At 38.1% G+C, this 25,570-nt stretch overlaps 1 protein-coding gene and 1 pseudogene across 2 annotated transcripts in view; both read left to right on the forward strand.

Moving 5' to 3' along the window:
- The window catches only part of ZNF679 (zinc finger protein 679), a 38,458-nt gene extending 20,777 nt beyond the window's left edge, over positions 1–17,681 (forward strand). For both annotated transcript variants that reach the window (NM_153363.3, XM_017011797.1), the window contains exons 3-5: positions 10,971–11,097; positions 11,584–11,679; positions 16,646–17,681. In NM_153363.3, coding sequence (NP_699194.2) covers positions 10,971–11,097; positions 11,584–11,679; positions 16,646–17,619 — 1,197 coding nt within the window. In that variant the 3' untranslated portion in view covers positions 17,620–17,681. The remainder of the gene's footprint in view (positions 1–10,970; positions 11,098–11,583; positions 11,680–16,645) is intronic.
- Positions 24,288–24,739, forward strand: VN1R39P (vomeronasal 1 receptor 39 pseudogene; annotated as a pseudogene).

A 25,570-nucleotide genomic window follows, 5' to 3' on the forward strand; every position in this document is an offset into this window, starting at 1 on the left:
GCTCCGGAGTCTGAGGACCCAAATCCTCCTTGGCCCAGGTGGGCTGTTAGTCCCCTCGAGCCATAATATGGTGCCTGGGCCAGCGGCTAGGACCCTAGGAATTCTTTTTCCTTTGCAGTGGCTTTGCCCTGGACTGGAGCCCTCTCTGGGCAGCTCTGCACTCCCAGCGCCTCATCTCACCCAGATTGTACAGGGATGGGAAAGTCATCAGGGGAGAATCCCGACTCAGGGTGTGGGATTCATAAGTGGAAAGAGCTGTGGTCCCTGGGGTCCCTAGTTCCTCATTTTTCCTTTTAGAAATGTATGGGAGTCACTGTAAAAATATTAGACAATTTGATCAAAATGTGATTCAAGAATCATAGAGTGCCCAGCTATGGTTTGTGGGTTGTGGTCCATGGGAGAGACTTGAAGAAGTCTGTTATAAGTTGCATGATGAAGCAAACCAAATTCAGTAACTGCTTTGGTAAAGTTATGTCGTTTCCTTATTTGTAAGATCCAGGTGAAAATTTCTTGGCTATGTCATCACAGATTAATTAGCAGTCTGTGGTTGACTAGGCCTGAATTTTTTTCTTCAATATAGTAATTTCCAAGAAATGCAATATTTTTTTTGAGAGGGAGTCTTGCTCTGTTGTCCTTACTGGAGTGCAATGGCACTATCTTGGCTCACTGCAACTTCTGCCTCCCAGGTTCAAGCAGTTCTCACGCCTCAGGCTCCCAAGTAGCTGGGATTATGGGTGCCCGCCACCGTGCCTGGCTAATTTTTGTATTTTTAGTAGAGATGGGGTTTCACCATGTTGGCCAGGCTGGTCTCGAACTCCTGACCTGAAATGATCTGCCCTTCTCGGCCTACCAAAGTGCTGGGATTACAGGCATGAGCCACCGCCCCTGGCCATAAGAGATACATTTGAGTTAGATTTTTTTTTTAAGTGAGAGCTGAGAAAAATCAATCCACCTTAGTCTAATTGCCTGCTGTTTAAATATTTTTATACTCTACAGGAAACTGGCTTTCCCTTGGTTTTTTTTTTTTTTTTTTTTTTGAGACAGATTCTTGCTCTGTTGCTCAGGCTGCAGTGCAGTGATGTGATCTCAGCTCACTGCAACCTCCACCTCCTGGGTTGAAGTGATTTTCCTGCCTCAGCCTCTTGAGTAGCTGGGATTAAAGGCACCCACCACCACGCCCGGCTAATTTTTGTATTTTTAGTAAAGATAGAGTTTTGCCATGTTGGACAGGCTGGTCTCAAACTCCTGGCCTCAAGTGATCTGGCCGCCTTTGCCACTTAAAGTGCTCTGATTACAGGAATAAGCTATTGCAGGCAGCCTGCATTTTTCAACTGTGTCTTTTTTTTTCTTTTTTTTGAGACGGAGCCCCATTCCGTCACCCAGGCTGGAGTGCAGTGGCTCAATCTTGCCTCATTACAACCTCTGCCTCCCTGGTTCAAGTGATTCTCCTGCCTCAGCCTCCCGAATAACTGGGATTACAGGCCTGCACCACCACACCCAGCTAATTTTTGTATTTTTAGTAGAGATGGGGTTTCGCCATGTTGGCCAGGCTGGTCTCGAATGCCTGACCTCAGATGATCCGCCTGCTTGGCCTCCCAAGTGCTGGGATTACAGGCGTGAGCCACCACGCCAGGCCTCAACCGTGTCTTAAACAAGGTCTTAAGTCAGTTTCCCTGTTCCCACAGACTAACTGCCTTGCAGTAAAATATTAAATTTCCAGTTCCATCTGACATTCCCAAATGCCAACTTTTCTTTCTAACTCACATTATTACCTATTTGTCCTTTCTTATATGTTTCAGACACAGTACTTACACTAATTATTTTTTTAAAAGTCATTGGATGACACTTAAAGAGTGCCATTCAATGCTTTGTTAAAAAAAAGTTTCCCGTTTATAAATATTTCACATAAGAAGAAAGCAGAGGTCAGGCGCAGTGGCTCACAACTATAATCCTAACACTTTGGAAGACCAAGGTGCAGATCACTTGAGGTCAGGAGTTAGAAACCAGCCTGGCCAACATGATGAAACCCCATCTCTACTAAAAATACAAAAAAATTAGCCAGGTGTGGTGGTGGGCGCCTCTAATCCCAGCTACTCAGGAGGCTGAGACAAGAAAATCACTTGAATCCAGGAAATGGAGGTTCCAGTGAGCCAAGATCATGCCAGTGCACTCCAGCCTTGACAACAGAGTGAGACCATATCTCAAAAAAAAAGAAAAGAAGAGAAAAGGCAGAGAGTAATCCTCTGACACTGTGTTGTAAAAAAATCTATGTGCCTCTTCTTTTGTCTTGTTCAAGCTCAGACATCTTATCATAATGCGTGGGTTGAGTTTTTTTGGGGGAAACCCTACAGGGTAATGTTTCTTCAGCCACACTTTAGGTTTTTCCTGGTTCTGGGTCTTAGTACTGCTTTGGGATAAACCAAGATACCCACCGTGACCATGTCTGCCACAGTGTCTAGTGAATATCAACCCACCTTGGCCATGTCTGCTGGAGTGTCTAGTGAATATCATCTCCTGAGTTATTTTCTTTTAGAGAACAGCACATGATATGAAGTGTAGCCTTGCAAGAGAAGAGAGCAAACGAATGCCTTGGGGCTGTGAGCAATCTCCTAGTATACTTTTCCTATAAAAAGCTAATCCCTTGCGACATTAGAATTGTCTTTACCCAACTCAGCTTCCATTTCATGGAGACACATTGCTAGTTAGCCAATCATATGCTGGTATTGAGGGAAAAACACAGAAGTAATTTCTGCCCTCTGGATTCTGTCAGATTTGTGAAGGAAAAAAACTATTTCTAAAGGCAAGAAAAACTGACCCCAATAAGATGGTGCAAGAATCTCAAAGTAATTGCACCTGGGGAACTCACCAAGGCACGGTGCAGTGTCTCCTGGAATGGTTGTCATTGAGCATTTCAGTGAGCAGGATGCACGTGGGAGACTCTCAAATGATTAGATAGTTTGACTTGACACATGAGTCAGACGTGTCTGTGTTCCAATCAGCACTGCCACTCCCTGGGTTGGTCACCTTGAAAAGATATTTTCACTTCTTTCAACTTATGTTAGTTAACTGTAAATTGCATTTTATCAGTAGAGCTCAATATGTAACAAAATATTTACAAAGGTCGTGAAAGAGATGAGTTTCAGAAAAAAAATTTAGTCATGTATTCTGTTTGTTAAAAATTTGCATTTACCCTTTTGTTTTTCAGAGTGAGCATAGAAGTTTTCTCAGGTGTGTTATTTTTTGGCTGTGTGATTTCACACAGTATTCTAAGGCTTAGCTTTGTGAATATTACCAAGGGAAATAATATGAAAAATGTCTCTTCCATTATGGCTGTCGGAAATGAATACATTTGCACAAGAAAATGTGGTAGATAACTGGGGAATTACATAGATTCATCAAAACATCAGTGTCTCTTTTTGCAAAATTAATGTGACAGTAAATACTTCTGTTCTACATCCTGTTATCTTATTTTTATTTTTATTTTTGAGACGGAGTCTCACTCTGTTGCCCAGGCTGGAGTGCAGTGGCATGATCTTGGCTCACTGCAACCTCCGAAAACTGGGTTCAAGTGATTCTCTTGCCTCAGCCTCCCAGGTAGCTGGGATTACAGGCACCTGCCGCCATGCCCGGCTAATTTCTGTATTTTCAGTAGGGACGGGGTTTTGCCATGTTGGCCAGGCTGGTCTCGAACTCCTGACCTCAGGTGATCCAGCCACCTGGGCCTCTCCAAATGCTGGGATTACAGGCAAGAGCCACTGCTCCTGGCCCTGTTATCTTGATTTCTGAATTTTATGATAACTTTATGAGATGGGACTGCGCACCTTCTAGGAATTTGGTCATAGTACTAATTACAGAATGTCCTGTTATGGAAATAAGAAAATGATATGTGTATTGTCTGAAAGAGATAGATACTTTTGCTTTTCTCATTGAGCTATAAAATATAAGCACCTTAACATTTTTTCCCTTTGTATAAACACTGTGTTTCAGTAATTTTTCTGAATTTATCTAACACTTAGTTTCAAAAACTAAGTGAACATCTCTGACTTGGAAATTAAAGCCTGAGCCCTGTAACTCCAAGCTAAGGGCAATATTGAGTCTGCAAAAGGAGGTTAATGAAGGCCTAGTCAGTTCTTTCTAGGGAGCCTCTCCAGCAGATGTCCCAGCCTGCTCACACCAGCAAAGGAAGAAGCCTTTATACTGAGATGAGCAACAGAGCCCAGGAAAGCTGGGGACCCACAGGCAGATTCAGTCAGAGTTAGAATAGATGGGAATTGGAAAGACCTTACTTAAAATAAAGGTGTTGCTGTTTTGGGTCAGTTTCTAGACTTTGTAAAATAAAACAAAATCAGATTTAGGTAATAAGTTCTGAATCCCAACAACAGAAAAAAGTACCAGGTATAAGATTTTTAAGGATATCAATGTTTAGGCAGACAAGGACTTTCTTTCATAGAGAATAGCAAACAAATTTAGAAAGAAGGTGGAGTAAGTAAGAATGGTATGATATAAGGGGGCAAAATTAGATTCTAGATCAGAGAATGTTTTACCCTGAAGACAGCATGTTTTTAAGGAAAGACAGAAAATGGGGTTGTATGTTGGCTTAGACTGAAAGTAGCTCAAAGGTCAGAAGCCCTGGGAAAAAAGAAAAATGTAAGCAAAGTTGATTAAGAAGTATTTTGTTTTGACCACTGAAGAAAAGTATTTAGCAGATTCTTTTATAAGAAAAGTAGAAATTTGCAGAGTTTATGTCTGGCTATGTGATAAGTGAGAAAATACAACACCATCTAAGTCATAATGGGGAGAACGTTTCTTTCTGTTAAGCTGTTGCTGAAGACCACAAAGGATGGAGAATTTTATTTTGTTTTATTTTATTTTATTATTACTTTTTTTTTTTTGAGACAAAGTCTTGCTCTGTCACCCAGGCTGGAATGCAGTGGCGCGATCTCAGCTCACTGCAACCTCCATCTTTCAGGTTCAAACAATACTCCTGCCTTAGCCTCCCAAGTAGCTAGGATTACAGGCCCACCATGTCTAATTTTTTGTATTTTTAGTAGAGATGGGTTTTCTCCATGTTGGCCAGGTTGGTCTCAAACTCCTGACCTCAGGTGATCCACCTGCCTCAGCCTCCCAAAGTGCTAGAATTACAGGCATGAGCCATCATGCCAGGCTGGAGAATTTTACTAATCACAGCTATTTACCAAGATTATCCAAATGCCCCATCTTCCCCAACATTTTTTTTTTGTCTTATACATCTTTTCCATTTCACTGTTTCTTGGTTGCATGTTTTATAGTAAACTGGCTAACATTAAGTACAGGATTTTGCAGAATTCTGTGAGTATCTCTATCAAATTATTGAACTTGAGGGAGATTATGGGAGTCCCCAGTTTACAGACAGTAGCTGAGAAGCATAGATGAGTCCCCGGGATTTGTGACAGGCATATGCAGTAAGGGCAATATGATGAGACTGAGCTCTGAATTATGGTCTGTGCTGACTCCAGGTGGTATCAGGATGGAAATGTTAGACAATAAGTTGGTGGTAAAAAGTTGCTTGTTGCCAACCTGGCCAACATGGTGAAATCCCATCTCTACCAAAAATACAGAAATTAGCTGAGCGTGGTGACAGGTGCCTGTAATCCCAGCTACTCAGGAGGCTGAGGCAGGAGAATCACTTGAACTCAGGAGGTGGAGGTTGCAGTGAGCTGAGATCATGCCACTGCACTCCAGCCTGGGCAACAGAGTGAGACTCCATCTCAAAAAAAAAAAAAAAAAAGAAAAAAAATTGCTTCCTAGTTAGCAAACTCCACAGATTTGGTGTCAGAAAAGAGATATTACAGAGGCCTGGCCTGGAGGGGGACTCTGGGTGTCTGGTAAGGTGAGGCTCTGTTCTCCTGCACACAGGCTGTCACACTGCACATTGTCCTGTGATTCTAGGTCTCCTCTCAGGGTGACAGGGGACTAAAAACTTAGAGAAAAGGAATTCTGATAACAGACCTCCTTCTTTCACCGCTACCACCACATGATTCTCACACATTCACAGACCCACTAGACATTGATGCGTCCACACCCCTCCCAGGACTAGGTATCACCCTCAAGTATTCCACCACAGCGCTTTTGCTTTTAGTGCTTCTTGCCAAAATCCCATTAATGTGCCTACACGTTTCCTGGCATATCCCCAACCCCAGACACTGAATCTGCAGTAGCAACCTGTTTCCTCCACCAATGTAGGGATCTGTACCACTTGATCATAGTCTAATCTGCCTGCATGGACACAGGACTAAATCAGAGTATAGCCCCACATGGACCTCTGTCTGTAGTACAAACCAGTCCTATCACTTACCTTGCACTCTTTCCCACCCATGATTTTTTTTATTTTTTTTTTGAGACAGAGTCTTGCTCTGTCACCCAGGCTGGAGTACAGTGGCATGATCTCGGCTCACTGCAACCTCCGCCTCCCGGGTTCAAGAGACTCTCCCGCCTCAGCCTCCTGAGTAGCTGGAATTATAGGTGCATGCCACCACACCCAGCTAAATTTTGTATTTTTAGTAGAGACAGGGTTTCACCATGTTGGCCAGGCTTGTCTTGAACTCCTAGCCTCAGGTGATCTGCCTGCCTCAACCTCCCAAAGGGTTGGGATTACAGGTGTGAGCCACCGCGCCTGGCAGAATTTTTTTTCTTTTACCTTTTATTTTAGATTCAACAGTACATATGCAAGTTTGTTATATAGGTAAAATCATATCATGAAGTTTTTGTGTGCAGATTATTTTATCACTCAGGTACTAAGCATAGTACCCAATAGATTTTTTTTCTGATTTTCTTCATCCTCTGACCCTCCACGCTGAACTGGGCTTCAGTGTCTGTTCTCTTATTTGTGTCCACGTGTTCTCATTATTTTGCTCCCATTTATAAGTGACAACATACAGTATTTGATTTTCTGTTCCTGCACTAGTTTTCTAAAAATGACGGTCTCCTGCTCCATTCATGTTGCTGCAAAGGACATGATGTTTTCCTTTCTTATAGCTGCATCATATTTCATGGTGTGTACATCCACATTTTCTTTATCCAATCTACCATTGAAGACATACAGGTTTATGTCTTGTTTTTCATATCGTAAATAGTGCTGTAATAAACATGTGTGTGCATGTGTCTTTATGGTAGAATAACTTACATTCATTGGTTATATTCCCAATTGTGGGATTGCTGGGTCAAATGGTAATTCTATTTTCAGGTTATTGAAAAATTGCCAAACTGTTTTTCTCAATGGTTAAACAAATTTATACGCTCTCCAGCAGCATATAAGCATTCCATTTCTCCACAACCTCACAAGCATCTGTTGTTTTGGACTTTTTAGTCTGAGTGTGTTTATTTGAATTATTTCTTTTTTCTTCATTAATCTAGTATTTTATCTATCATATTAATTTTTTCATAGAATCAACTTCTGGTTTCGTTGAACTTTTTTTTTTTTTTTTTTGAGACGGAGTTTCACTCTTTCGCCCAGGCTGGAGTGCAGTGGCATGATCTCAGCTCACTGCAAACTCCGCCTTCTGGTTTCAAGCAATTCTCCTGTCTCAGCCTCCTGAGTAGGTGGGATTGCAGGCACCCGCCACCATGCCCAGCTAATATTTGTATTTCTACTAGAGACGGGATTTCACCATGTTAGCCAGGCTGGTCTTGAACTCCTGACATCATGATCCGCCCGTCTTGGCCTCCCAAAGTGCTGGGATTATAGTCGTGAGCCACTGTGCCTGGCCTGTTAAACTTTTTATGGTTATTTATGTCTCACCTTCTTAATTTCAGCTATGATTTTGGTTATTTGAAGTTAGTTTGAAGTTATTTGAAGTTAGTTTGAAGTTATTTGAAGTTATTTGAAGAAGTTGGTTATTTGAAGTTAGTTTGCTCTTACTTTTGGAATTCTTGTAATTATAACATCAGGTTTGTAAATTGAGATCTTTCTAACTCTTTGGTGTGGATGTGTAGTGTTATACACTTTGTTCTTATCACTCCCTTAGCTGTGACCCAGAGCTTCTGGTATGTTGTATTTCAGCTCTAATTAGTTTCAAAACTTTTTTTATTTCTGCCTTAATTTCATTATTTACAAAATAGCCATTTGGAAGTTGATTATTCAATTTTTATGTGATTGTATCATTTCAGATGTTTTTTGTATTGATTTATTGTTCTATATATTTTCTTTTAAAAATTAATGATAGAGAAACATAGGAATAAATAAAAATGCTGTGCTCTTAATCCAAATGCTAAAAATTATTCAACACTTAGTAGCAACTCCCAGAGTATGAAAATTAAATCACATTATGTGTTATTCCCAGCACGGTATTCTGTGACATGCTCCTGAGCACATAGTACCTGCTTAATAAACATTTTATTAGTACATGTGTACACATTTCCCAAGTGCAGACCTACTCAGACATTGCTGCCTTCTGTTTTCTCTGTAAACTTAAAAAAGCTAACAAAAAATATAATATTTCAGGGTGGAGATTGGTTGTCTTTATTTGTACCAGAAGTATTTATATTGTGACAAATGTAGTGGGTGTAAGGGACTCTTTGCTGTGCCTGCTTTCTCTCGCTAATGCTAATAATGTGTCTGGGAAAGCACAATCAGCATTTACAGGGGACTTGTTGAAAAAGCCCATTCCTGGACCCTTTTGGGTCCTGCAGAATCGCTTTGCACAAAGCAGGGCCAAGATTACCAAGTGATTTATAAACTTGAGGGGTTCAAGTTACGTTCAGGAGAGTTTAGTTCAACCTTTGCATCAAAGGAAGGCTGCACTGCCTGCCCTATTTCAGTTTGGTAGGAAGAGGTCAGTGCGGTTCGTGCTCCCATTACTGTAAAGAACATTGCTGGAGTCTGATAGGGGAGGGCAGGGAAAAAGAAACTTATATTTTAGTGGTTATGGAGAAGCTCGTTGTTCTCTGCTCTTAAATCTTTTCAATTATACACAACAAAAATGGGTGAATGTTTTCTGCAAGTCTCGGTCTTTCTGCCGTGGGTGTGTGTGGCGGTAGCAGGTGAATAGGTTGTGCTTTAAAGGCATATTCTCAAGATGCAGGTTTGATATGTCCAGAGCATCTTATCTGAAAATACATTTCAGAGAAAGAGGAGGAAAAGAAAAAAATCACTTTTTCTTGGTGAGCATGTCTCAGATCAAGAGTAGTGTGCGGGCCGGGCGTGGTGGCTTACGCATATAATCCCAACACTTAGGGAGGCTGAAGCAGGTGGATCAAAAGGTCAGGAGTTCGAGACCAGCCTGACCAACATGGTGAAAGTCCGTCTCTATTAAAAATACAAAAATCAGCCGGGCGTGGTGGCACACACCTGTAATCTGAGCTACTGAGGAGGCTGAGGCAGGATAATTGCTTGAACCTAGGAGGTGGAGGTTACAGTGAGCCAAGATTGCACCACTGCACTCCAGCCTGCTCGACAGAGCAAGATGGTCTCAAAAAAAAAAAAAAAAAATGCAGTGTCCACTCTGCCTTTGGAATGCCATGTGTTCGGAACATGCATATGTTTACTTCTCTGCTTGTGCTGTTTATACCTAATGAGTTTGTTTCAATTATTTTTTGCTATTTTTATGATAGTCCAGGGGTTCTGAAAAAAAATTTTTCTATATAGCATAGTCTTCTTTTTTTGTTGTTTTTGTTTTGTTTTGTTTTGTTTTGTTTGTTTTGAGACCGAGTTTTCACTCTTGTCCCCCAGGCTGGAGTGAAATGGCACAATCTCAGCCCACTGCAACCTCCGCCTTGTGGGTTCAAGCGATTCTCCTGCCTCAGCCTCTCTAGTATCTGGGATTACAGGTGCCTGCCACCACGCCCAGCTAATTTTTGTATTTTTAGTAGAGACAGGGTTTTACCATGTTGGCCAGGCTGGTCTCGAACTCCTGACATCAAGTGATCCACCCGCCTTGGCCCCACAAAGTGCTGGGATTACAGGCGTGAGCTACCGTGCCTGGCCACACCATAGCCTTCTAGATATTTTCTTCATCTTGGATTTTTGTATGCCATGCAGAATTCTCACCACAAATTTATGACCTGCGGTATTTAAAATGTTCCCATTGTAGCTGTTGAACATGAGAAGGTGTGGATACTCAAGATTTTTACTGGGGAAACACAGTTGTCTTTGGATATTAAAGAAAAGTGAAACATGTCTTGTTGAAGTTTCATCTGTGTGCTCTATTAGTTCCATGCAGAACAGGATTTAGAAAATGCTAACATAAACAGGATGGCACTTATTACCCAGAAAGTTCTGAAAAAACCTATTAAGAGATACTTGCTCTCTAGGGTGCTAAAGAAAGGCTACTTAATGTTACTATTAAAAATTACAGAACAGGGAAGTTATCTGTATCTTCAACTTTGCATAAAACTGGTGTTTCTTTATAATTAAATTTAGGCCAGGTGCGGGGGCTCACGCTAGTAATCCCAGCACTTTGGGAGGCCGAGGTGGGTGGATCACCTGAGGTTAGGAGTTCAAGACAAGCCTGGCCAACGTGGAGAAACCCCATCTCTACTAAAAATACAAAAATTTGCCACGCATGGTGGCTCACGCCTGTAGTCCCAGCTACTTGGGAAGCTGAGGCAGGAGAATCGCTTGAACCCAGGAGGCGTAGGTTTCAGTGAGCCAAGATCATGCCACTGCACTCCACCCTGGGCAACAGAGTGAGACTTGGTCTCCAAAAGGAAAAAAAAAAGAAAAAAGAAAAGAAAAAAATAGACATGTGCATATTGATGCCCTTAATTTAATAATTTATCATCCAGAAAAGTATCATATCTACAGTGGTATTGTGGAGAGTTAGAGAATACTTCAGTGTTAAAAATTATCATTGAATAATTTTAGTCACTCTTATAAGTGAGAAACACTTCTTTTTACTCTCTAACTTGAGTCAAATAAAAATCTCTGCCTACGGCCACATAGTAAGTGTTTGTGTGTTCATGAGTGTTTTTTTGTTGTTGTTATTGTTTTTCAGGGACTGTTGACATTCAGAGATGTAGTCATAGAATTCTCTCTGGAGGAGTGGCAATGCCTGGATCACGCTCAGCAGAATTTATATAGAGATGTGATGTTAGAGAACTACAGAAACCTGGTCTCCCTGGGTGAGGATAACTTCAATACACAATTCCTAATATATTTCTTTTCTCTCTTTTCTAAAATGTTTTTTGGTAATTTCTGCTTTGCATGAGTGAATTTTAGCTCTCTGATTTGAAGAAAATCTTGGGGATTCATTGGTGTAGAACAAATTCTTCAAGATGTTTTATCTTGACCTGAACTTTTCCCTTTCCTGAGCTTATGTATCTTTCACTCTAGGTTAGTGGCAATTCCAAAAATGTCATGGCATAAAATATCGTTGCCCACACCTTAGAATTCAGTTGCTGCCACCAATTTTTGATTCAGTAGTACTGAGTAGTGAAATTAAGGACCTACAAATTTAAAATATTTTCTAAATAGTTAAAAAGTTCTGTTATGAATCAATATTAATTTTCTAGAATTTTCTATTATATCCTCTTTACTAAGCATAATACTCGTTTGGTAATTAAAGAATTCAGCAAGATTTATGTTACTTTTTTTTCTTAATAAAACAGGTATTGCTGTCTCTAAGCCAGACTTGATCACCTGTCTGGAGCAAAATAAAGAGCCTTGGAATATAAAGAGAAATGAGATGGTAACCAAACACCCAGGTAAGTGAGAGTGGATGAAGCGGATGACACAGATGAGAGGTGCAAAAGTCAAGGAGGAAGCCAGTCCTTAAAATGTGATTTGGGGAGATGTGCTTCCATGGAAAGAGTTTCTAAGAAGCCCGAGTCATTTTTTTTTCTTTTGCTCTCAGATAGGGATACCTTCTGCCCCATGCTTTTAAATTCTCTAAGGATTCTACTTTCGCTTCAGTAATCTTTCTTCAAGTTCACAGTGTGAGCCAAAGTTTTCTTTATGGCTTATCAGAGACTGACTGCTTTACCATTGTTTTGGGGGCATGCTAATATCTGCATATTTTTGAGAAACTCTATGTTAAACCATTAAAAATTTTTTTTTGCATCATGTCTAAAACGTGTGAGAATAGTAGTTTCTGTTTCATTGGTGGTTGTCCGTTTTTCTGCACATGCCATTCTGTTGTCATTACTATAGACTTGAAATATAGTTTAAGGTTTTTTTACAACTTTTTTATTTTTTAATTTTTATCCATGTATTTATTTATTTAGAGGTTGGGTTATGAGACTTGCTGTGGGGGGATATACAAGCAGGATACCTCTTATGTCTTCATTTTACTGTGTTGCATATTTTAGATATAGATTTATAAATAGAATTGCTGTATTGTATAATTTCATTTTTAATTATTCAAAGAACATTCATATTTTTTATGATAGCTGCATCTTTTTTCTCATCAACAACTTACATAGACTTCAATTTCTTTACATCAACATAGTTGGTGTTTTTGAAAAAATTTATATTGGCTATTCTAATTGATGTAAAGTAATTTTGTTTTGTATTGTGATTTTGTTTTGCATTTTTCTATAAATTATTAATTTTGTGCAACCTTTCAAATAGTTCTTCCCATTTGTATATCTTTTTTTATTAAAATTTAGTTTAATCATTTGTCCAATTCTTTCTTTCTTTTTTTTTTTTTTTGAGACTGAGTTTCACTCTTGTTGCCTAGGCTGCAGTGCAATGGCAATTTTGGCTCAGGGCAACCTCTGCCTCCCGGGTTCAAATGATTCTCCTGCCTCAGCCTCCTGAGTAACTGGGATTATAGGAATGTGCCACCATGCCTGGCTAATTTTGTATTTTTAGTAGAGATGGGGTTTCACCATGTTGGTCAGGTTGGTCTCAAACTCCTGACCTCAGGTGATCTGCCCACCTCGGCCTGCCAAAGTTCTGGGATTACAAGAATGAGCCACCGCGCCTGGCTCGCTTGACCATTTCTAAATCAAGTAATTCAGTTATTGTTGTCTACTTCTAGGAGTTGTTTATAAATTCTCAATATTAAGTTTTATCACATGTGATTTTCAAATATTGTCACCCATTTCTTGGGTGGCACTGTCACACTATTAAATGTGTTACTTGATTACAGAAATTTTGAAGTTTAGCCCAGTTAAATTTTCCTGTTCTTCTCTTTGTTGCTCATGCATTTGATGGCATGTCTAAGAAAATGGTGCCAAGACCAATGTCATGTCTTTCCACTATATTTTTTTTCTAAGAATTTCGTTAGTTTTTTTCCAAAGTATTTTGTTTAAAATATTTTTTGTATATGATGCAATTAAAGCATCCAAGTTTATTTTTTCAATGTAGATATCCAGTTTTCAACATTGTCTGTTGAAGGGATTATATTTTCTCCATTGTCTGCTCATGGCAACCTTGTGGCAGATTATTTGCTCATACACAGAAGAGTTCATTGCTGGGCCCCCTATTTTGCTCTATCATGTCCTTATTTGTCTTTGTGTGGATACCACATAGTCATTGTTATTGTTGCTTTTTATTATGTTTTAAAATTAAGAAGTATATTGCCTCTGTTTTTCACGTGTGTTTCTCTAGATATAGTTCAAAATAAAGTTTAAAATTTTTAAACAATATTTCAGGAATAAATATACTTTTGGAATTTTGATACAGATTATATTAAATTTGTTCACCACTGTGGGTTATATTGACATCTTAACAAATTAAGTTGTCATTTAACTATTTTGACCCCTGAGCAAAAATATTAAATTAAATTAAATTATTTGACCTGTGCAAGAATACATTGAAAAGTGTGTTTATTTCCATGTATTTTTGATTTGCCAGTTTTACCTTTTTTCTTTTTAGTTTTATCAGTTTTGGTTAGAAAAAATAGGCTGTATGATTTTGCTCTTCTTAAATTTTTTTTTTACACGGGGTTTCTCACTCTGTTGCCCAGACTCTAGTGCAGTAGCACAGTCTTGGCTTACTGCAGCCTAAACCTCCTGGACTCAAGTAATCCTTCCACCTTGGCCTCCTGAGTGGCTGACATTACAGACATACCCCACCATGCCCAGCTAATTTTTAATTATTTGTAGAGACTGGGTCTCACTGTGTTCCCAAGGCTGGTATCAAACTTCTTGCCCGAAGTGATCCTTCCACCTTGGCCTCCCAAAGTGCTGAGAGTACACCTGTGAGCCACTGCACCTGGCTGATCTTTTGAAATTTGCTAAGACCTATGTATTCTAACAGAACATACCAGGTGCAAATAAAAATATTGTGTATCCTCTTGCTTTTGACTGGAGAGCTCTGTGCCCTCCAAATCTCATGTTGAAATGTAATCTCCAGTGTTGGATGTGGGGCCTAATGAGAGGTGTTTGCATCGTGGAGACAAATCCCTCATGAATGACTTGGTACAATCCCCTTGGTAATCATAGAGTTCTCCCTCTATTAATTCACATGAGAGCTGGTTGCTTAAAGGAACATGGCTATTCCACCTCACACTCGCATCATCTTTCACCATGTGACATGTTTGGTTCTTTTTTGCCTTCCACTATAATTGTAAGCTTCCTCATATCCTCACCAGAAACAGGTGCTGGCATATACATCTTGTACAGTCTACTCAACTGTGAACCAAAGAAGTCTTTTTCTTTATAAATTACCCAGTCTCAGGTTATTTTCTATAGCAATGCAAAATGAATTCATACACTATATAATGTTTTTCAGGTTTTCTGTTTTTTAATTAATTTTTTATTTCAATTTTTTATTTATTATTGAAAGTGAGGTCTTAATGTTTATAATTTTATGCTGCCATTTTATTTCTTGCTTCACTTCTATCAATATTTGCTTTATATATTTTGAAACCCTGATGTTATATATACTTATACATATAGATAGACATAATAGTTATAGATTCCTAGTAAATGGACTTATTTTACCATTATATAATATCAATCTTTGTCTCATGCTAGTAATTGACTCATTTTCTTTTGTGTGTCTATAAAGATTTTTTCTTTGTGCTACACTGGAGATTTCATAACACCTCTAAATGTTACCACAATATTTTTTAAACTGGTAAAAAAAAATGACTTCAGTTGCATAGAAAAATTTGTCCTCATTATATCTACCCTATACATCTTATTGATGTTGATAATTATATCTTTTTATGTTTTATGATTATTTTTATGCTTATATCTTTGAAATTTTAAAGAATAACTAAAAATGTTTTCTGCATGATCACAATAATACCACAGATTTTTATTTTTTGTATATGCATATGTTTTTCAGAAAGTTATATATTTTCATATGATTATGTATTTTTTTCATCATGTTATTTTAAGCGGCAGGACCTCTTTTCAGCATTTTATTTAGGGCACATGCAGTGCTTATATGCTTTTCCAGCATGTGTTTATTCTGGAAGATCTTTATTTTTTCTTTATTTTGTAGTATATTTTTGCTGCATTTATTATTCTCACCATGAAGATTTTTTTTCAGCACTTTGACCATTGTACACAGTTCTTTTCTGACCTGCAAGCTTTCTGTTGTCAAATGTGTCAGAGGACTATGCTTATAAATAATACCTCACTTTTATCTTATAGCTCCCAAGATTGTCTTCTGGCTAGTGACTTTTGAAACTTTGTTTAAATATGTGTTATGGATCTTTTTGTGTATATCCTAGTTTGTTTAGCTTCTTCATTTCTTACATTATTTTTTTCTTACTTCTAAATTTTTTCACTTATTCTTTTTTAATTCCATGATTGTTTTGTTTTTATTATTCCAAGCCTATTGTTGATATTCTTATTTTTCTAATTTTATTTAGGTGTCTGGTTTTCCATTTTTCTCACTGAGCATAATATGGATTATCTTATGTTTTTAAAATTAATATATGCCTCTTTATTTTTGTAGTTGCTTTTTCAAAATTTTTGATTTTTTTGATTAGACCATGTTGTCTTCATGTTTTGTATACATTGTAATCTTTGGTTGAGATTTAAACATTAACATAAAACTACCTTTCACGATCTTTATAATGCAGCTCTTTCTTGGCATAGCCTGAAACCAATTTTCTTTCTTGGCTAGAGATTCACAGAGTCTCTCAAACATGTTCTCAGGATGTGTCTTGTCTGCAATTTTGTATTTATTTTTCCATTAAAAGACTTCTCCATGTTTCTTCTTACCAGTAGGTAGCTACTTTCCACACCTATTTTCTATCCATGTACTACAGTCTTTCTGCTGTTGTAACATTCACCTTTGATCTCAAAAGACTTAAAGGTGTCATTTCAAAGCATACTACCATTTGATTCAGCACTTTCTATCATGGAAGACAGAAAGGCCTCCATAAGCCAAAAATAAAGATATAGGTGCCAGTATTTTTCTGGTCTTTTGTAATAAAAGCCAGTTTACTCCTAAAGACACCATGTTCTTCTATTGGGGATGAAGAAGGGCTGTGTTGGGTAAATGTATCAGACTTTTCTTTTCTGTCTATATGGCTCTTGGTATTGTGCCCACCTGGTGCACACACTTTATTTATAAATTTCCAGCAAAGGTATTTTGATCACTATGTTTTTGTTACATTTATACACCTATGAAGGAATTATGGCCTGTGGTAATTTGATATGCCATTTTGCTAAAGTACCTTGTATAATTTTATATATTCGATTTGTAAAGTATATCTATCTGGGTGTAGTAAGTGAAGTAACTTGTGATTTTTATGTCTTTCAGTTATGTGTTCTCATTTCACCCAAGACCTTCCGCCAGAGCTAGGCATAAAAGATTCACTCCAAAAAGTAATACCAAGAAGATATGGAAAAAGTGGACATGACAATTTACAAGTAAAAACATGTAAAAGCATGGGTGAGTGTGAGGTGCAAAAAGGAGGTTGTAATGAAGTTAACCAATGTTTGTCAACTACCCAAAACAAAATATTTCAGACTCATAAATGTGTCAAAGTCTTCGGCAAATTTTCAAATTCCAATAGACATAAGACAAGACATACTGGAAAGAAACATTTCAAATGTAAAAAATATGGCAAATCATTTTGCATGGTTTCACAACTACATCAACATCAGATAATTCATACTAGGGAGAATTCCTACCAATGTGAAGAATGCGGCAAACCCTTCAACTGCTCTTCAACCCTTTCTAAACATAAAAGAATTCATACTGGAGAGAAACCCTACAGATGTGAGGAATGTGGCAAAGCTTTTACCTGGTCCTCAACCCTTACTAAACATAGGAGAATTCATACTGGAGAAAAACCCTACACATGTGAAGAATGTGGCCAAGCCTTTAGCCGCTCCTCAACACTTGCTAACCACAAGAGAATTCATACTGGAGAGAAACCATACACATGTGAAGAATGTGGCAAAGCCTTTAGCTTATCCTCATCCCTCACTTACCACAAGAGAATTCATACTGGAGAGAAACCCTACACATGTGAAGAATGTGGCAAAGCCTTTAACTGCTCCTCAACCCTTAAGAAACATAAGATAATTCATACTGGAGAGAAACCCTACAAATGTAAAGAATGTGGGAAAGCCTTTGCCTTCTCCTCAACTCTTAATACTCATAAGAGGATTCATACTGGAGAGGAACCCTACAAATGTGAAGAATGTGACAAAGCTTTTAAGTGGTCCTCAAGTCTTGCTAATCATAAGAGTATGCATACTGGAGAGAAACCCTACAAATGTGAATAATGTGATAAAGTCCAGCCTTCAGACCTTATAATACATAAAATAATTTATACTTGAAAAAATCACTACAAGTGTAAAGAATGTGGCCAAGCCTTTAACCAGTTCCAAACCTTTATTGTACATAAGATAATTCATATTGAACAAAAGTCTTATAAATGTAAAAAAAAGTAACAAAGCCTTTAAGCAGCCCTCAAACCTTAAGGAACCTAAGAGAATTTATTTGAGAACAAAAAATTTTTGAGATGAAGTCTCACTTTGTCACCCAGGCTGGAGTGCAGTGGCATGATCTCAGCTCACTGCAACCTCTGCCTCTTGGGTTCAAGCAATTCTCCTGCCTCAGCCTCCTGAGTAGCTAGGATTACAGGTGCATGCAACCACACTGGCTGATTTTGTATTTTTAGTAGAGATGGGGTTTCACCATGTTGGCCAGGCTGGTCTTGAACTCCTGACTTCAAGTGATCTAACTGCCTCTCAGCCTCCCAAAGCCTAAAAGAGTTTATATTAGAGAGACTCTATGAAGGTAAAAAATGTGACAAAGCCTTTAAGCACATCTCAGGCCTTACACAATATCAGATAATTCATTTTAGAGAGAAACCCTACAAAAACAAAAATGTAGTTAAAAGCTTTAGCTTTTAACTAGTCTTGAACCCTTATTCTACATTAAGAAAATTAATACTGAAAAGAAACCCTACAATAAGGAATATGGAAATGTCTTTAAAAAGTCCTCAAATTTTTGTTTGAATAAATGTAAGATAATTGATATTGGAGACAACCCCTGCAATTGTAAAAAAAAAAAAAATGTGGCAAAGCCTTTAACTGGTTCTCCATCCTTATTAATTAAAAATTTTATGCTGGAGAGAAACTCTACATACATAAAAAATGTAACACAGCATTTAACCACACCTCAAACTTTCTAACAAAGAGAAATCATCCTGTTGAGAAACTCCAGAAATGTGTTAAATGTGGCAAGGCCTTTAAATGGTAGTCACACATTAGGGTAGGTAAGATAATTTATACTGAAGAAAACTCCTACAAAAATGAAAAATGTGGCAAAACTTTTAACAAATTCTCACACCTTATGGCACAAGAAAGCATTTATAACCAGAGAAAAATTGTACAAATACAAAGAATGTGAAAAGCCATTAATATCTGTTCACATCTTAATATCAGAAAGTTTATACTTAATAAAAGCATTATAAGCCAGGTGTGGTGGCTCATGACTGTAATCCCAGCACTTTGGGAGGCCAAGGCAGGTGGATCATGAGGTCCAGAGTTCAAGACCATCCTGGCCAACATGGTGAAACCCCATCTTTACTAAAAATAGAAAAATTAGCCAGGCATGGTGGCATGCACCTGTAATCCCAGCTACTTAGGAAGCTGGGGCAGGAGAATTACTTGAACCCAGGGGGCGGAGGTTGCGGTGAGCCGAGACTGGGCCACTGTACTCCAGCCTGGGCAACACAGCAAGACTCCATCTCAAAAAAAAAGTATTATACATGTGATTACTGTAAAAAGACCTTCAGAAAATATAGGCCTTTAAAGTAAGGACTGTTTATTCTGAAGACAAACATTTCAAACATAAAGAGGATTGTAGTACCTTTACTTGTAATATAGATTTTATTGTACACATTTTATATTAAAGGAAAACCCTGAAGCAGATGCTCAAACTTTGGTGAACGTCAGAGAATTTATATTTGAGAGAAAGCCTGAAAATGTAATGAATGTGAAAGAACATTTGTTCAAAAACTACAGCTTAGAAAACACCAGTTTCTACTAAAAAATATTTTTGCAGATGTAGCAAATGGGGAAAATATATTTAATCAAAAATTAAGTCTATATAAACATTTGAGAATTCACAGTAGAAAGAATGAAGGCACTGAAACTTCAGACATTACACTAAATCAGGGTGCTAGTTATAAAAATGATCCAAAGCTAACATTATATACATTTTAACGAAGTAGTTTTTTTTTTTGGAGATTTATAATTACATCCGAGGTATGCTTCTTTTTCTGTAAAAAAAATATACATTTTCTGAAAAGCAAATAATAATGTAACCCAAGTCTCGAGTTACCTCATGTTGATTCTTTCTTCCCATTGTTTGTGAAAGTATTTGATGAATTGTTGCATCAGAGATATGAGAGATTATTTTTTATAGGTGTCCATTATTCATGAACTTTCCTATGAAAGAGTAAGGACATTAGGTTGTAACATGCATAATGAAAAATCTAAATGAAGAGGCTCTTTGTGGTTGACTTATAAAATTGTTTTAGTGACGTATAAGGTGGGTGTTCACAGTAATATTCTGAATTCTAGTGAGAGGAAAACCTTTCAATGTTAGTAATAAATTATTTTATCAATTGTACCTTTGTGTAATAAAATGCAATAAATTTAAAATTTTTTAAAGATTATGTATGAACTTAATTTTTTCATTAAACAAAATTGTTTTTAATGTGTTAAGACTTGTGCTTTGAAAGAAGGGTTGATTTGCTATCAATTTTAACGTGTCCCATCTTACTTAAGGTTCTAGGTTAAAGATGGTAACAATATAGTATTTGTTAATGTAGGGGAATGACATGTCTAGTAATCTCTTTTTTGCCAGTGTGTGTTTGTTTGTTTGTTTTGAGACAGAGTCTTGCTCTGTCACCCAGGCTGGAGTGCAGTGGCGCAATCTCGGCTCACTGCAACCTCCACATCCTGGGTCCAAGCGATTCTCCTGCCTCAGTCTCCCAAGTAGCTGGAACTACAGGCACATGCCACCACACCTGGCTAATTTTTGTATTTTTAGTACAGATGGGGTTTCACCATGTTGGCCAGGCTAGTCTCGAACTCCTGACCTCAGGTGATCCACTTGCCTTGGCCTCCCAAAATGCTGGGATACATGTGTGAGCCACCATGCCTTGCCTGCCAGCGGTTTTAGACTGCAAATAAGTTGAAGAATTTTGTTCCCATAGGTCAAATTTGTATTCTTTTTTATCTTATTTAAAATTTTTTTAACTTTTGTGGGTAGATAGTGTGCATACACACTTATGGCATGTATGAGATATTTTAACACAGACATACAATATTTAATTATAACAGCAGAGTAAATGAGGTATTCATCACCTCGAGCATGTATTTATCCTTTGTATTACAAACAATCAACTTTTAGTTATCTCAGTATGTGCAATTGAATTATTAACCATAGGGTCATTTTGTGATCATAAAAATTACATGAGTATAATTAATATCCATACATTTCTGAGTTGATTATTTTTTTAAATTTGTTTTATATATTTTTTACATGTGACCTCTCTGCTGACAAACAAAAACAGACTTTTAGTTTTTATTTACATAGAGTTATATATACAAATATACTAAAGATACACCAGCTGGGTGCAGTGGCTCATGCTTGTAATCCCAGCACTTTGGGAGGCTGAGGTGAGTGGGTCATTTGAGGTCAGGAATTCAAGACAAGCCTGGCCAACATGGTGAAACCCCATCTCTACTAAAAATACAAAAATTAACTGGCCATGGTGGTGCGTGCCTGTAGTCCCAGCTACTCAGGAGGCTGAGGCAGGAGAATCGCTTGAACCCGGGAGGTGGAGGTTGCAGTGAGCTGAGATGGCACCACTGCACTCCAGCCTGGGTGACAGAGTGAGACACCATCTAAAAATAAATAAATAAAAGATATACCTTAAGTGTAAGAAAGTTATGTAGCAAGTGAGTGTGTTTGTGAGTTTGTATGCATTTTCAGAAGAAAAGAACAATATTGAAACAAAAAAGATCATTTTAATAAGGTGGATAATTAACTAGAAACCAAGAAACCTCAGAGATTCTGAAAAAAATACATACATATTCTGTGCCCTGTATTGAATTTGTAACTTTAAGATCTTATACACCCAAATCTTATCTCAAATTGTAATCCCCACATGTCAAGGAAGGGACTTGGTGGGAGGTGATTGGAATATGGGGGTAATTTTCCCCCATGCTGTTCTCATGATAGTAAGTGAGTTCTCAAAAGATCTGATGGTTTTATAAATGGTGGTTTTTTCTGCTTTCCTGCTCTCTTGCTGCCTAGTGAGGAAGGTATTTGCTTCTCCTTTGCCTTCCACCATAATTGTAGGTTTCTTTAGACCCTCCCCAGCCATGCAGAATTGTGAGTAAATTAAACCTCCTTTCTGTATAAATTACCCATTCTTTGGTAGTATCTTTATAGTAGTGTGAAAACAGACTAATATAGAAAATTAATACTGGGAGTTTGGGGCACTGCTATAAAGATAATTGAAAATGTGGAAGTGAATTTGGAACTGAGTAATAGGCAGAAGTTGAAAGTTTAGGGAGCTCAGAAAAAGAAATGTGGGAGAGTTTGGAACTTCCTAGAGACTTGTTGAATGCTTTTGACCAAAATGCTAATAGCCATATGAATGATGAAGTCCATGTTGAGGTGGTCTCAGATGGAGATGAGAAACTTATGTTTAAAATGGAAGCAGAATATAAAAATTTGGAAAATTTGCAGCCTGACCATGACGTAGAAAATAAAACCACATTTTTTGAAAAGAAATTCAAGGCACTGCAGAAATTTGCAAAAGTAAAGAGAAGCTGAATGTTGATAGCCAAGACAATGGGGAAAATGTCTTCAGGTCATGTTAAAGATCTGAGGCAGGTCCTTCCATCACAGGCCAGGAGCCCTAGGGAGAAACAATGGTTTCATGGTCGAGGCCCAGGGCCCCACTGCTCTGTGAAGCCTCAGGACTTGGTGTCCTGCATCCCAGCTGCTCCAGATCCAGCTGTGGCTAAAAGGGGCCAAGGTACAAGCTTGGGTTATTTCTTCAGAAAGTGCAATCCTCAAGCCTTGGTGGCTTCCGTGTGGTATTGGGCATGTGAGTGCACATAAAACAAGAGTTGAGCTCTGGGAACCTCTGCCTAGATTTCAGAGGATGGATAAAAATGCCGGGATGTTCAGGCAAAAGTCTTCTACAGGGGCAGAGCCCTCATGGAGAACCTGTAATAGGGCAATGCAGAAGGGAAATGTGGGGTTGGAGCCCTCATGCAGAGTCCGCCCTGAAGCTGCCTACTGGAGCTGTGAGAAGGCCTCTATACTCCAGACCCCAGAATGACAGATCCACCATGAACTTGCACTGTGCACCTGGAAAAGCCACAGGCATTCAATTCCAGTCCATGAAGGAGCTGCTCAAGGCCACGAGGGCCCACCCCTTGAATCAGCATGGCCCAGGAGTGGGACATGAAGTCAAATGAGATCATCTCAGAGCTTTAAGATTTTATTACTGCCCCGTTGGAATTCAAACTTGCATGAGGCCTGTAGCTCTTTGGTTTTGGCAAATTTCTCACATTTGAAATGGAAGAATTTATCTAATGCCTGTACCCCCATTGTATCTTGGAAGTAACTAACTTGCTTTTGATTTACAGGCTCATAGGTAGCAGGGACGAGACTTTGGAGTTAGACTTTTGGGTTAATGCTAAAATGAGTTAAGAGTTTTGGGGACTGTTGGGAAAGCATGTTTGGTTTTGAAATATAAAAAGGGCATGAGATTTGGGAGCGGCCAGGAGCAGAATGATACCCATCGTGTTTTCATGATAGTGAGTGAGTTGTCATGAGATCGGATGGTTTTATAAGTGGTAATTTTTCTGCTCTCCCTCTCTACTGCCACCTAGTAAAGAAGATACCTGCTTCTCTTTCACCTTCTGCCATTATTGTAAGGTTCTTGAGGCCTCCCCAGCCATGTGGAACTGTGAATCAACTAAACTTCCTTTCATTATAAATGTTCCAGTCTTGGGTAGTATCTCTACAGCAGTGTAAAAAGAGACTAATGCACAAATATAAGATAGGACTATCTGTGTACTAGATGCTTCATAATTAGCCATAGTTATTCCTGCTTGATTTTCTTTGTAACACTCAATCACAGATGGAAAATATTCATGATGAAAATATAACATTGATTCTGCATGTGCAGAGGACATCAGTTCTTAGGTTGCAAAATGGCCTCTCTGAATTTAAATAAAAATTCTACTTTTTAAATTTTCTGATTATCTTTTGTTTTGTGACTTTTTATGTTTATCCTAGTGATGTGTCCATCACAGCCCTTCCCATTTATTTCTGTGCTATGGCTACAGCTTTCTCACTGTTCTCTCTGTGCCACATCATTTCACACAGTACTTTGTAGGTTCTGATGAGAAAATTGGAATTTTTTAATATGGTGAAAAACTGTGTTAAACTTGGGAGTTTCAGCTTATTTATAGCTTCTCAGTGTAGCTTCCACATAAGTTAATTGAGATAAGAGGCATACACTGTCCACAGGTGAGACAATTAAGTCAGATAGCACTATTTGTCTTTGTAAAAAAATTTTTTATTAGATTCTAAGACAAACTGAAGCATATACAAAATTATTTAGAAAATATATCTTAGAAATCTGAGGCAGGTGGATCACAAGTACAGGAGAGTTAATATTAACGGATAATTATTAAATGTAATTTTACGATATATTTATAGCACAACTTAAGTTTTCATGCAGGATCTTGTATTTTTGAGTGTGAATGTTAAATGTTGCAAATAAAATGAGCTCTATGAATTTAAAAATTGGAATAATATTTCCTTTTCATATTAATGTTACATATTATGAACATATAATGTTTCATATTAATGTTACAATCTTGAGAGATTTTTCTATTATTTTATGATTATTTTTTAGTGGGTGAGATTCAGTCTACAGTTTTCACTTACTCACCTAACCGTAGCCAACATTTTGGTCATTTTCTCTGGGAAAATTTTGGAGATTATGGCAGATTTAGATTAAAACAATTACTCAGTTATTTTTCATGCAAAGATGTTTATTGTGTTCACAGAGTGACCAATCATGTGACAGGTGGCAACACCTGATTTTTAGTGTCTTCCACTACATTGCCGTCAGCACCAGAAACTAAAGGTTTCCAAGCGAAAGTAAAAGCCCTGAAGTATATTGGCTCCTCCCATGTTCTGCTGGACCCAGAATATGCTGTAAATATCCGAGTTTCTATTGCTATTGCTGACAAGTTAAATAACAGAAACAGCACAGAAAAACTGAGTTATCTTTAAGTTCTATCTAGGTGATGGTATTAATATTGTAATTGCTTATAAGATAGCAAGAATTGGCCAGGTGCGGTGGCCCACGCCTGTGATCCTGGCACTTTGGGAGGCTGAGGTGGGCAGATCACAAGGTCAGGAGTTCAAGACCAGCCTGGCCAATATGGAGAAACCCCATCTCTACTAAAAATAGAAAAAATTAGCCGGGCATGGTGGTGCATGCCTGTAATGCCAACTATTCAGGAGGCTGAGGCAGGAGAATTGCTTGAACCCAGGAGGCGGAGGTTGCAGTGAGCTGAGATCGCACCACTGCACTCCAGCCTGGGCGACAGAGTGAGACTCCATCTCAAAAATCAGAAAACAATAAAAAAAAAGAATTACTCTGTTTGGTCTAATGCAAAGTAGTTATTTCTCTTCTAAATGTAAATGGTAAATAGGGTTTCTATGATCATAAGCATATAAGGTATTTTAAGATGATCACTAAGATTAGAACAAAATTCATAGGCTTTTAGCAACATAAATTTTAATTTTTTTCTAATAGAAGTGAAGAAGCAATAGAAATAAGTTGTTAAAATGAGTTCAAGGAAACTACACATGTGGTCATTAAATAATATTTAAAACCATGTTGTAAGTGACTGGTTAGTAATTGTAATTTGTTTCATTTTAGTCACTGAGAAAACAATATGCTTTAATCATTCTATATGAAAAAGTATTCTTTTTTTTTTTTTTTTTGAGACAGAGTTTCGCTCTGTCACCCAGGATAGGGTGCAGTGGCGTGACCTCAGCTAACTGCAACCTCTGCCTCTCAGATTCAAGTGATTCTCCTGTCTCAGCCTGTTGAATAGCTGGGATTACAGGCACGTGCCACCATGCCCAGCTAATTTTTGTATTTTTAGT

This window comes from Homo sapiens, chromosome 7 (genome assembly GCF_000001405.40).
Source record: "Homo sapiens chromosome 7, GRCh38.p14 Primary Assembly".
Classification (NCBI taxonomy): domain Eukaryota; kingdom Metazoa; phylum Chordata; class Mammalia; order Primates; family Hominidae; genus Homo; species Homo sapiens.